Source organism: Homo sapiens, chromosome 9 (genome assembly GCF_000001405.40).
Source record: "Homo sapiens chromosome 9, GRCh38.p14 Primary Assembly".
NCBI classification, from domain to species: Eukaryota; Metazoa; Chordata; class Mammalia; order Primates; family Hominidae; genus Homo; species Homo sapiens.
Genome location: NC_000009.12, coordinates 22,809,954 through 22,824,461, shown reverse-complemented (window position 1 = coordinate 22,824,461; position 14,508 = coordinate 22,809,954). Strand labels below are relative to the sequence as shown.

General features: G+C 36.7%; 1 long non-coding RNA gene across 1 annotated transcript in view; it reads right to left on the bottom strand.

The window, feature by feature from the left end:
- Positions 1–248: 248 nt before the first annotated feature.
- The window catches only part of LINC01239 (long intergenic non-protein coding RNA 1239), a 178,014-nt gene continuing 163,754 nt past the window's right edge, over positions 249–14,508 (bottom strand). Inside the window, exons 5-6 of the long non-coding RNA NR_038977.1 lie at positions 2,864–3,724; positions 249–1,210 (exon numbers count right to left, since the gene is read on the bottom strand). This is a non-coding gene — a long non-coding RNA (long intergenic non-protein coding RNA 1239). The remainder of the gene's footprint in view (positions 1,211–2,863; positions 3,725–14,508) is intronic.

Genomic DNA, 14,508 nt, shown 5'->3' with positions numbered 1-14,508 from the left:
AAAAGTTTTGGATTACTGACATTGTCAGTAAATGAAAAAAGTCATCTTTACGTTTAAGACTAGAATAATTGAAAGATGCATCTTTTGAATAACTAAAAAGTAAGAGAAGCTCTACATAAAATGTTAGAGATAAAAAATGGTAGATTAAAACAGCTTGTTGATCAATCAAAGACTCTGGCAAATGAAGAGAAAAAAGCATATGTAATAATAAAGTCAAACAGAAAGAAATACAAGACGTAATACTTTTTAAAAAGTTGGTGTATTTTTATTAAGATTAAAGTAGAAATTGAAGCAATCAACATGTCTAGATAGATAGTAAGTAAGTAAGTCATGCCAGTAATGATCATGGTTTACTCCAAAAGAATGACACCACAATTCTACATTTGTATGCAGGAAATAATACAACTTCAAAATGCATAAGGTAAAAAAAGAACAAAACTGAAAGAACAACTCAAGAAATTCACAATTGAAGTGGACATCTTTAACACATATTCCTGGATACTTGATAGAACAAATAGAAAAATGACCAGTAAGAATACAGAAAACATAAAAAACATCATGGATGAATTTAACTGATATATAAAAAAGTTAATTGTTTTTCTTTTCTTTTTTTTTTTTTTTGGTAGTTGAAAGATTTAATAGAGTGAAAACAGAGCTCCCATAAAATGGGAGGGGACCCAAAGTGGGTAGCCATTGCTGGCTTGAATGCCTGAGTTTATATCCTGATCATTGTCCCGCCCCTTGTGCTGTCAGGCGATAGATGACTGGCTATTTCTTTACCTCCTGTTTTTGCCTAATTAGCATTTTAGCAAGCTCTCTTTACTACCTGATTGGTCGGGTGTGAGCTAAGTTGCAAGCCTAGTGGTTAAAGGTGGGTGTAGTCACCTTCCCAGCTAGGCTTAGGGATTCTTAGTTGGCCTAGGAAATCCAGCTAGTCCTGTCTCTCAGTCCCCCATCTCAACAGAAAACCCAAGTGCTGTTGGGGAGGTTGGCCAACGACCACTCTAACTGCTTCCTGCTGAATTGGGGCGTAGTAGGTGTCATGCAGTTGAGATTTCCTCGGGAGGGGTGCCTTTGATGTCATTAATGTGGGAGCTGGGCTAGCAGGCCGGTCCAGAGGTCCGCAGTAGATCTTAGTCATGGACTGCATCTGGGGCTCCATTTGGAGAACCATTTGTAGTTTTATAGCTTTGATTCTGGAAGAGACAAACTTAACAAGGAGGTTAAAGATACAGAGATTGAAATGTATGGCCTGCATACAGGGGATTATTTCTTTGGCACACTTCACAGGACCTGACTATCTGCTTGATAGTTTTGAAAAGGCCTGGTCCAACAAATAATAATTTGTCCATCTGATGGGTGCTATCAATGCCTAAGTGAAAGGTTTGGTGAAGGATTTTAAGTAATTTCCATTGGTTAGTTGCAGGCAAAATATAGCAGCATCACAAAAATGTGCAAAATAAAATACCAAGTACCATGGAATAAACCTGTAAAACAACAAACTTTATGAATGATATTTAAAAGAACTCAAATATATGGAGGAATAAATCATCTTCATGGATTGGAAGACTTTATAAAGATTTCAGTTATTCTCAGATTGGTTTACAAATTCAATGCAGGACAACTTTGGCTATTATTTTAGGGATAACAACCATACATATATACTTAGATGTCAAGTGGTTGAAAAGTAAGAAAGAGAAGAATGTATAGGGATGACTGAGGTTTTGTACCTAGGTGGCAAGGAGGGTAGAGATGTCGTCATCTGACATTACATGTCCCTCTCCAGAATTTAGGTAACAAAATGCAGGCATGTAGAATTAGTCACATACTTTCTTTTGAAGTTTCTTTCGAAATTCCCATATAAATACCAAAATCATTCTGAGAAATTCTGGAATGTGACAAGAGTTCTGAAGGAAAATGTCTCGAAATTGCTGACCCACTGCTCCTTTGATAAGTTAATGAAATCTGGTTGCAAATCTAATCTATATTTATAGCAGGTTTTGCTTTATAAAAAACACCATTGATCTAATTCCAGTCGTTTTCCTAACACCTCAAATAAGGCATCAAATATTTTGTCAGAACTTTGCTTTGCTAATGAAAATAAACAATTTAATTTTATTGAGGAATTTGGAATCTTCAAATACTGTATCTGTGAACAGACAAGAAACTTAAATAATCGATGAAAAAATGATAGTATTTAAACAATACTGGCCCTATTACTAAGTGCTGGGAGGACACTGAGGAAGTTATTAAAATTTGGAGTTAGGCTGATAGGTTTTTGGATTCTATTCATGTATATATGGCATTCATCTAGCACTGATGCTGCTGACTTTTAAGTCAAGAATTCCTGAGTAACTGTGGTTTTGTTGCTCACAGATCTATTCCATCCGTCCATCAAGCATGGAGTTTACACAAACACACACTCACACGTGTGTATACGTATGGTCAGTATATATGTTTTATATATGTGTGTGTGTGTGTGTATATATATATATATATATATATATATATATATATATATATATATATACTGTTTTACTGTTCACCCAAAAGACATATGCCTGTTATTTTGAATTAAAAGGCTTTGTAATTTAATATTGTTAAATCTATAGTATTAGGTTGATACAAAAATAATTGTGGTTTTGGATTGTGAATTTTAAATTGTTATAGCTAGGCTCAAACACATCTATATTAATCAAAATAGACACCATTACAATCAACACATTTTTGCCAACAAGAAATAAGTTTGCTTACTCCCATGGCATAAAAATCCATGTTTTGGGATTCAGTGAACTCTTGGAAAGCATTTTCTGCATCCTGCTGGTTGTAGAAACAATTTCCCTGCAAAAAATTGTCGAAATACCTGAAGAAGTGGTAGTTGGTTGGTGAGAGGTCAGGTGAATATGGCAGATAAGGCAATTTTGTAGACCAATTTATTCAACTTTTGAAGGGTTGGTTATGTGACATGTGGTCAGGCGTTGTGGTAGAGAAGAATTGGATCCTTTTGGTTGACCAATGCCGGCTGCAGGCCTTGAAGTTTTTGGCACATCTCATCGATTTGCTGAGCATATTTCTCAGACATAATGGTTTCGCTGGGATTCCGAAAGCTGTAGTAGATCAGGCTGGCGGCAGACCACCAAATTGTGACCATGAGCTTTTGTTGGTGCAAGTTCAGCTTTGGGAAGTGCTTTGAAGCTTCTTCTCCATCCAACCACTGAGCTGGTTTTTGCAGCTTGTCATATAAAATCCACTTTTCATCACATGTCATAATTCGATCCAGAAATGGTTCATTGTTGTGTAAAATAAGAGAAGACGTCACTTCAAAACAACAATGTTTTAAAATTTTTGCTCTGTTCATGAGGCATTCACTTATCAAGCTTTTTCACCTTTCCGATCTGCTTCAAATGCCAAACTACTATAGAATGATTGATGGTGAGTTCCTTGGCAACTTCTCCTGTAGTTGTAAGAGGATCAGCTTCAATGATTGCTCTCAATTTGTCGTTGTCTACTTCCAATGGCTGGCCACTACACTCTTCGTCTTCAAGCCTCTCGTTTCCTTCGCAAAACTTCTTGAACCACCACTCCACTGTACGTTCATTAGCAGTTCCCGCGCCAAATGTGTTGCTGATGTTTTGAGAGTTGTCTCTGCTGCTTTACGACCCATTTTGAACCCGAATAACAAAATTGCTCAAATTTGCTTTTTGTCTAACATCATTTCCATAGTCTAAATAAATATAAAATAAATAACAAGAAGTCATTAGCAAAAAAAATTATAAATTGAGAAATGAACAGTTAAATGATGTATAACCTACATTCATTTAAGAATGTATTCCAATATCAAACAGCAAATCTCAACAATGCAAAAAACCACAGTTATGTTTGCACTATCCTAATACTGTCTGCCATTATGCTTTTTCTTTATCAATGATATTACAGGAGTTTATCCACAATAATTTTTGATATTATCGTAATTGATTTTTCGTGATTGAAAATGCAAGAATCACAGCCCAGAATATGATAATAATTGGTCATGGTCATATTAATTATAAAATTATCTTACAATGTGTGATAATTATGAATTTTATATTAACATAATCTCTTAGTGATTAATGTGCAATCTCTTCAGTTTTATAGTATACAAAATGCATTCCTTTATGCTCTCTCATTGACTTTCTAGCTAACTTGGTGAAGTAAATTTTATTACATACAGATGCAGAAAATAAAGTTCAGGGAAATTAAATTGTTTGTTAAAATATCGTATAACTTCTAAGTGTCTGATTTGAAGTTAGTGTTCAAAACTAAGCATCTACCCTACAAATATGTTGCTTCTTTTATTCTGTGTTTCTATGACATCGTGAAGACATTGAACAGGTTTTCAAATTTTATTTCCTGAAAGATTAACCCTCTATCATGTCAAAATATTCAGACTCTTTAAATTCTATTTTAACCCCAAAATGGAGTGGCAGAGGGTAAGTTAGATTGATAATGTAGACATGTTCTGATCATTTTGTAATTGCAACAGCTACTAGCTCTGGTTCTCTACAGCTCTTTTCCCACACTAAAATTTCCTAGGCTCTTGAGATGCAGTAAAATTTGAATGTAGATGGAAATGGATTTGTGTGTGTGTGTGTGTGTGTGTGTGTGTGTGTGTGCGTGTGTGATTCACAATGCTCTACAAAAATCACCTTAATGAAAGAGGATCAGAATTTTTCACATCAATATAACAAAACAGAGCATTTATGCAAATATCCCCATTGAGTGTTTCCATTATCAGACTATTCTTCATTGATTCATGCAATAACAATACCAACTTGATACCATAATGACTCAAAAAGAGCATCTCTAAAGTGTGCTTTTCCTTGAGCAAATAGAACTCAGTGAATACCTTTATTACAACAAGACTCTCCTAAACTCTCTGGGTATCTTATAGCTGCTTCCATTCATAAAAATAAAGGTAAACTAGACCATAGGTAGGGAAGGTACAGATGGTAGCGAAAGGCCCGAAAGAGGAAGTAGCATGAATGTGGCGGCACTGGGGTTAAAAACATAATCTACATCAGGTGTGTTCTGAAAACTGTACATATTCAGTAAGTGTGGAGTGTACATGTGACTATGACAAGAGGCATAGTCAAGAGATAAGCAGAGGTCAGAACACATAGTCGTATGATAGGCATAGGAATTTGAAGATGGCAGATTGGATGTATGGGAACAGTCATTTTGGATTCACTGTGGAGAATAGAATAGAGATGGGGAGAATGAAAACAATGAGAATCAATTTGAATACTTCAGCAGCACAGGTAAAATGTATCATGGGTCTGAAATATGGCAGTAACCATAGATATAGGAAGAGTGAATGCAAGTGGAAATATCAGGACGTAAAACCGTGAAATGATTCACGTGTTCATGTAAGTGGCATTTGTATATTTGAGCTTAAATAACTTGAGTTTTCTCATTTGCCTATTGTTGTTTTGTTGTTGTTGTTTGTCTTACAATATATTGTGGGCAAAATTCTAAAGAGTGCAAATTTGACTTCAGACTTCCTCCCATTCTCCAATCACATGATTTTAATTTGACTTGTTGCCTACATAGTTTCCCACAGCTAGCCCTATATACTCAAGTTTACTTCCAAGGACATGAACAATAGCCTGAGACTTCTATTCTCTAATCAATTTAATTATTTTTTCCAAATGTTTCCTCTATGATAATTGAAAATGATAAAACAAACTAAATCAGAGATGTCCAAGAGTTGACTTTACATTAGAATCACCTGTGTTACTAAGTTGTAGGATGTCTAAGAAACTCAGAGCTATAGAGATGGAATGTATAACCAGGAATGGGGGCTTACTTTTAAAAACATTTAAACATTAATTCCCCAGCAAATCCTTGGAATTTTAATATGATTATCACCACAAAATACAGGCTTACAAGGTAGTTTAATAGTTTGGTTGCTGCTATATTCCCTCTTAAACAACTTATTTCATTTTGAGATCATTCTGATTTGTTGAAGAATATGTAAGTTATAAGAAATATTTTGTAAACTGAGAAAAAATATTGTATTAAGTTTAAAGTACCAGACATGGAAGTATTTTACTGTAGCTGCTTTCTCTGTTAGAGTGGAGAGGGTGTATTGAATTCTGCCTTCTCACTTTGTCCTTCATTATTCTTTCCATCTTTTTTTAGTGTTAAGATCAGCTACTCTGCCTTTATTGTAAAAGCTTCTTTTCTACAGATTACGTTGAGTGTCCTACATTCTTAACCTCAATTGGCTTCCATCTAGAGCACTTTGTGTAAGAAGCTGTATATCAACAACTGTGATATGGAATGCAGCATCACAGGTTTCTTTGTTTCCGAAATAGGTAATGCATGTGCTCAGGATAAGTTCTCAGTGAAAAGCCTAACCTGTTGCAATATTCAGTTGAGGTGTTACAACAATAGATTCCTGGTATTTTAAAACACCATCAATATGCTTTGAGAGAAATAGGCATATGTTATTATTGCCAGCACTCATACAAGATCCCACCAGGCTGCCAAAGAATCTACTTACTATTTAAACATCTAGTAAATATGCTTTCTCAATGAAAGTCAGTCACAGGTAATTATGGAAAACTAATGTAGTCTGTATATTCAGTTCAGTTTTGGAGTGAATACTAACAAACTCAAAGCTATGGCTTTTACCTTATATGGAAGAGAAAGGAAATGGAATACTTTGATCAAAGTCCCGCTACGTTCATACTATATTCACAAAAACACTGGGTAATGCTATTATTCTTAGATTATCAAAGAGAAAGTTGGGACCTGGAGGATTTTTTTTTTCTAAACTTGCACAAACAATAAAACAGTGAAATTTGAAGTTTTTCCAATTGCAAATCTGTGTTCTTTCATCTGTGTGGAAGCCCTATGTATATGCTAGCCCTCTTACTTGCTTTCTTCTTTCCTTTCTCTAGGCTGTTCTAGGGATCATCTGGCTCATGATATCAGAGTTTGAAAGTTCTCAACTTGCTCCTTCAAACCTTCCCCCCAACCCCTAATCAGATGACTTGTTGTCTAGGAATTGCAATGTTGGTTTCTCACAATTTCTTTTGAACTGAGTCTGATTATTATACTTTTCAGCAGGGTGGAAGTGGGAGAGAATGCTGTCATAGCTATGTCACCATCACTCACATTCCTTCCAAATTCCTCCTAACTTTCCTTCATCTGACTCAGTACATTTTCTGCCCATGGCCCCTCAAATTCATGTCTTTCTCACATACAGAATATATACATTTCATTGTAATAGTCCCCCAAATCTTAACTCTTTACAGCATCAGCTAAAAAAATTAAAATCTCATCTAAATATCATCTAAATCTGATACAGGTGAGTCTCAATGTATGATTTATCCTGAGGCAAATTCTTCCCCAGTTGTGAACCTATAAGTAAGTTTTGTGCTTCCCAAATACAGTGTGAGATAGGCATAGGATAAGCATTCCTATTCTAAAGGGAAAAATAAGAAAGAAAGGAGAAACAGGTTCCAAGTAAGTTCAAAACCAAACAAGGCAAATAACATTAAATCTTCAGGCTTAAAAATAATCTTCTTTAAATCCATATCCCACTCCCTGAATATGTTGGGGTAGGGGTTGAGTCCCCAAGGCCATGGGGTTGTTGGGGGGTTACCTTCACTGCTTTTCTAAGCATAGCACAACAGCCGCTCTCATGGATTGGAGTTGGGTAGATGTGGGCTCTTCTAGGCTGGCATTGCATGCTGGTGGCTCTATAATTGTGGGTTCTTTGAGGTAGCCTCACCTGCACATCTCCAAAAGGCTTTTCTCTTGTGGAGACCCTCTTCAGTGGTCTTAGCCCCATGGTGTCACCTTACTGGGAGCTTTCTGTGGCATTTGTCTGCCTGGTCCCCAAGGCTCTTCAAGGCATCTTTTAAAATCAAGGTGGAGGCAGCCATGCTTTCATAGTTCATACACTCTGTGTGCATGCAGAGTTAGCAGCACATGGACGTCTCCAAGGTTTACCACCTGGGGCCATCTAAGCTACAGCTGGAGAGGCCAAGGAGTGCTGTGCCAGAATGTATGGAGCAGAACCTTGAGGCGATGCTAGGCAGTGACCTCTGAGGTCCCATGGGCAACATGAGCCTCTCTCATAAAACCATCCTGCCCTCAAGGGCCTGGCACTCTGGGTCTGTGATGAGAATGACAGCCTCAAAGATATCTGAAATGCCTTTAGGGTCATTCTTTCATTGTCTTACTAAATAGTATCTGGCTTCCTTCTATTCATACTAATGTCATTATCAAATGTTCACTTGGCCACACCGTTAGTGTCTTCTCCCTAACACACTTTTTAATTTTTTACAATCTGGACAGGCTGATACTTCTTCAAATCTTTAACTTTTTTTTTTAATTATAAATTCCATCTTTAAATTATTTCTCTCTTGCTACATTTTGCTATAAGCAGCCAAGATTAGCCATGCAGCTCCTTCCACATTTTGCTTAGATATTTCTTCCATCAAATATCCTAGCTCATTGCTGCAGGTTCTGTCTTCCACAAAGCACTAGGACACAGACATAATTCAGCTGAATTCCTTGCCATTTTATAACAAGGGTAGCCTTTCTTTCAGTTTCTAATACATTGTTTTTCATTTCCACTGTAGACCTTACCAGAACTAGCTCTCATGTCCATATTTCTACCAACATTATAATCATGACCACTTAAGTAATCTCTATGAAGATTCAAGCTTTCTCTACACTTCTCCTTCTCTTCTAAGCCGTCACCAGAATAGCACTTTAGGGTACAGCCTCTATCCATTACCCAGTTCCAGAGTCACTTCCAAATGGTATTTGTTACAGAAGCATGCCACTTCTCTCTCTCCCTCTCTCTCTCTTTTTTTTTTTTTCTCCTCTAGCAACGCCAGCCTGAGATAGCTACCCCAGCCCGAGAAACACACCACTTCTCAGTACTAATTTCTGTCTTAGTCTGTTTATACAACCATACGAAATACTTGAGACTGGGTAGCTTATAAACAACAGAAACTATGAGTTTTGAAGGATGAAAGTCCATGGTCACAGTTCTGGCAGATTCAGTTTCTGGTGAAGGCCTTTCAGCTGGGAGGCCTTGTGCCTTGCAAAAGGGTGCCTTTTAGCTGTGTCCTCACATGGCAGAAGGGAAATATGCTATGTCCTCACATGGTAGAAGGCAGAGGGGCAGAAGGGCCTGAACTCATTCTCTCAAGCCTGTTTGTAAGAGTGCTAATCCCATCCATGAAAGTTGAGCCCTCATAACCTAATCACCTCCTAAATCCACCATATCTTAACACGTTGCACTGGGGATTAAGTTTAAATTTGAATTTTGAAGATGACACAAACATGCAATTCATAGCATCAAGAAATGTAGCATATGTATTCTGCTTATCCAAGTGAAGATAAGAATGTAGATATCTACATAAAATGACTGTCAATTTATCTATTTTCATGTTTAAGTAACCTTTTGTTGAAGGCAGTGAACTGAATTTTAGATATGATAGGATCAGGCCCAGACAAAACTAATTAAACAAACTGTTGATCACTTGTATTTCACTAAAAATAGGCACGATCTTCAGGGACTTGTAAATTCCCTAGGGATCCAAGAAAATCATGATGGATGTACTTAATAAAAGATAATTAAAGTGTAAGAGGCAGAAAAGAATGGTCTAGCTGATTCTGAAATAAACCTTATCAATTACTTGAAGTAGTTTATAATTATTTTATTGAATTGTCAGATAATCATTTCAACTTTATATTGCCTATTGATCCCTTAATTCATATTTTCTTATTTATTCATTCATTGAATTATTTTTCAAAAGTAAATGTCTGAAATATAGCAAACTTATGTTTACTATGTTTTAGAAACTGTGATAGGGGTTAATAATAGAACAAAGAATAAAACAGATATGGTGTTCCCCATAACAAAGGCTAGATTCTGCCTGTAGAGAGACAGTAAAGAAGTGATGACATAAAAATCATAAAATTATAATTGTTAGAAATGTCATAATGAAAGCAATCGTTGTATGCTGTTAAACTATATTATAGGGAAAACCAAATGTAAATTAAGTCTGGTAAATTGGGCAGTTTTGAGTCAAAACTGTGATGGGTGATGAGACATTTCTGAGATGAAGGATCTTAGTCAATCTAGTGTAGTATAACAGAGAATAAAATTATTAAAATATTGGGTAAAAAGAATTAGGGTAGTGTTAAGTGTATGATCAGGTGGACAGTCATATGAAGAATACCTGACTGAAATATTAGATTGATGCAAAAGTAATTGCAGTTTTTGCCATCAAAAGAGAAAGAAATATTAATAGATTCCTTGCAGTCATCCTAAATGAAGAGCAGAATTTAGTTATGTGAAGAAAGGAATAAAAGATGTTCTTGACCTGGAGAAAACAAGAGGCATAAAGATAAGGCAAGGCACTGTAATTATTGTACTGTGCTATTCATGGAATTTGCAAGTAACACTACTGGAAAGGTTGGCAGAGCCAGAAAGCCCACGAGTCTTGATGTCTTTCCTCAGTGTGGATGCCAGATGTTCTTGGTCTTGCCATATCATCGGAGTTGTAACATGTGTGTTCCAATACATGGGTCTCAGAGGGCAACTTAAAGATGGGTTTTTTTACAATGATTCAGAATTCCCTAGCACATTATAGTAGAGATTTTCAGTGCATGGAGATACAGAGCAGGTGCCAGTTCTTTCCCTTGAACAGAACAGCTACTTACTGCCACCATGTGGAAGTCTTGAAGTTTAAATAAACATGAATATCTAACATGTTCTAACACATAGATTATTTTAGATCTACAATTGGAATGTTAATTTTTAAAGAGGTACAAGAAAGTCCAGTGGGTTTTTCAAGGAGAATCATCTGTGTTTTCTGTGAGCCTGAGATTTACATCTGCGGTATTAAATCAGACATTAAGCTACACCTAACTCTGCATTACAGTGAACTTTAAGTATGTTTGTGATTAAGGTTGAATTTGTTCTGATATTTATTAATCGTCTCGTTTTCTTATCATTGTTATGTTACTTAGATTCTTCCATATATTTTAACCCTCCATTCCAATATCCTGCCTCTCTTGTTATTCAAGTGAGAACTGATTCCGTGAAAATCTTTATTTTTACCCTCCCCACTAATATAATTTAGCTCTGTTGTTTTTCCTGTAAATACTAAACTCTTTTTTTTTTTTTTTTTTTTTTGAGACGGAGTCTCGCTCTGTCGCCCAGGCTGGAGTGCAGTGGCGCGATCTCGACTCACTGCAAGCTCCGCCTCCCAGGTTCACGCCATTCTCCTGTCTCAGCCTCCCGAGTAGCTGGGACTACAGGGGCCCGCTACCACGCCCGGCTAATTTTTTGTATTTTTAGTAGAGACGGGGTTTCACCGTGTTAGCCAGGATGGTCTCGATCTCCTGACCTCGTGATCCGCCCGCCTCGGCCTCCCAAAGTGCTGGGATTACAGGCGTGAGCCACCGCGCCCGGCCTACTAAACTCTTTAATGACAAATTTTCTTTGTCTCATCCTGGCTCATGTACAATCTCTGTTGTAGAAGAAACATAGCTAGTTGAATCTGAGGTGTTCTATATATAACCAAAGATTTAATGTCTTGGAAGTTATCAAACATAACTGAAACTTAAAAAGCATATGGATAAAAATAAGACACTTTAAGGCCTAATGCTATAATTTTTTGTGTTCTGTTTACTCTAAGACTCGTATTAAGGCTTTCTTGTCCGAGAATACCTTTATAACAGTGGAACCATGTATACACATTACCATCACTGGGAGCATTTACAAAAATATATCAGCTGTATAGTCCCCACCCCAGATGAATTAAATTAGAATTCTGGCACGGGCATTGGTAATTTTTAAACCCTCCCCAGCTGATGCCAACATGCAATCAGAGAACCACTGCTCTCTATTAAAAAGCTTCCTTAATTTAGGACATTATAGAAACAACAAAGGAATTGATAGAGAATAAGTGGATGAGGAATATTGAATGACAACTGCATAAAGGTCAATATTCAATTAATAGAAATCTATAAATATAAGATGGCCAGGTGCAGTTGCTGACGCCTGTAATCTCAGCACTTTGGGAGGCCGAGGTGGGAGGATTGCTTGAGGCCAGGAGTTCAAGACCAGCCTGGCCAACATGGCGAAACCCCGTCTCTACCAAAAATACAAAAAAAATTAGCGAGGTGTGGTGATGTGCGCCTGTGATCCCAGCCACTTGGGAGGCTGAGGTGGGAGAATCCTTGAGCCTGGGAAGCGGAGTTTGTGGTGATCCAAGATCGTGCCACAGCATTCCAGCCTGGGTGACAGAGTGAGACCCTGTCTCAAAACAAAACAAAAAATATGTATGTGTATGTGTGTGTGTGTGTACATATATAAAACAATATATACACATACACACACACACGCACACACGCATATGTACTCATATACATTTTCTTGTATTACTCCATATATATGTATGATGTAATGCAATAAAATTTAAATTTCCTACTTTTCTTTATAAGAAATTGGTAAAAACCCTTGGTAAATGTAGCTAGGAGAACTGATTTTGTTTCAATACATTCCAGATTTATATTACAATTGTATTATCCAAATTCTGCGGTATCTCTTCATTTTATTTCAGGATACTCCAGTATCATAGCAGTTTGCAGTTGGAGAATTAGTTCAGTATGTCAATCAAGGTTCCTGTTTCTACTTAAAACTGTATTCTGCAATAATTCCAAGTCTTCATTTAACGGAGAATTAATTTACCAGTGAAGTCTACTTTCTTCAAAATGTACTTTGAAAATGTCAGCTTTGGCCGGGCACCATGGCTCACGTCTGTAATCCCAGCACTTTGGGAGGCTGAGGCACGCAGATCACTTGAGGTCAGAAGCTTGAGAACAGCTTGGCCAACATGGTGAAACTGCATCTCTGCTAAAAATACAAAAATTATCCAGGCGTGGTAGTGCCCGTAATCCCAGCTCCTGGAGGCTGAGGCACAATAACCCCTTGAACCCAGGAAGTAAAGATTGCAGTGAGCTGAGATCGTGCCACTGCACTCCAGCCTGGACGACAAAGTCAGACTGTCTAGAAAAAGAAAGAAAGAAAAAAAAAGTCGGCTCCTTCTCTTATATAACTGAAAAATATTTGAGCATACTCTGAACATACATCCTACATTTGGTGCCCTTGAACATACATTCTATGTTCTTGGCCACATATGGGGGGATTTTATAATATTCTCCCTGTTGCAAGAATCATAAATTCTAAAATTCCCTTCTCCATCCCACAGGCTGAAACATAGTTACCATGATATTGTCTGTGTAACATAAATTTGAGTCACCTGTGCTTGCAAGTATGCAAAATTCAACTATTTAACCATTTTATAGTCATTCTGATATATATTGCATAACCAGTAGATTATTTCTAAATGAATGTTAATATCAAATAATATTTGTTCATCTTTGGAATATATACTTTTCTCCTCACAGCCATTTAATTCCCTCTCCCATCTATTTATGTCATTCCAGCTTTATTTTAATATTTTCAGAAAGATCTGGTAAATGAAAACAAATTAAAATATCAAGGAATATTTAAATTATTCCTCCTTCCAGTGGCACAATGGACCCTTATAGACCAATAAATTTGGTTATTAAAAGAATACATCTCTAAGATACATGCACTTTTAAAAATGATAGGTTGGCAAAAGCAGGGACAGTAGATATTTTGTGATAAAATTTTTATTCCGCCAAACTTCTCAGGTCACTTTATTGACTTAAAATACTTGCCTTGCTCTAACTCAGAGTTGTAGTCTCAGACATTTATGTATCACATAAAATCTTCCACAGACTAGGAATCGGTAGCACACGCCCTTGCTCTTAAGGATATATATGTAAAAAGGTAACTTGAAAGCATAGGTCTGGCTCAGATTTATAGGGATTCATGTAAGCCATCTAGAGTTAGGGAAAGATTCTTAGGAGAATACACCTAAAGTTGACCTTAAAAAACAAATAGGAACTACTCTAAAACAGAGAAAGATTATTCAGTTGGATGAATCAATACAGCAAAGGCAGAGAAATGGAGGTCTGAAGTGACATGCTACCTTTCAGGAGCTACAAGTAGTTTGGCATTACTGAAATGTAAAATGCAAGACAAAAAGTTGCTAGAGATGAGGCTGTAGAGGAGCTTAAAACCTACTGGCATGTTAAAGATCTTGAAATTTAATTTATTGCCTTTTCTTTTTGTTCAAATCATGCCTTTTGTAACCTCTCCAAAGATATCAACAAAATAGTTGCCTTCTAGCCCCACCTCTTATTCAAATACAGCAGCTCAGTTTCTGCTTGTTGTTTTTCATTTATATTGGCAACTAATATTTTACCTAATCAAAGCTTGTTAAGGCTAAAACCAAAAATTCATACCTATATTGTCAACAATAAGGAACCAGACTTTTTTTTTAACCTGAGGATGATCATGATCGGATTTAATTGTAAGTGGACCTTTCTGGTAGTCTT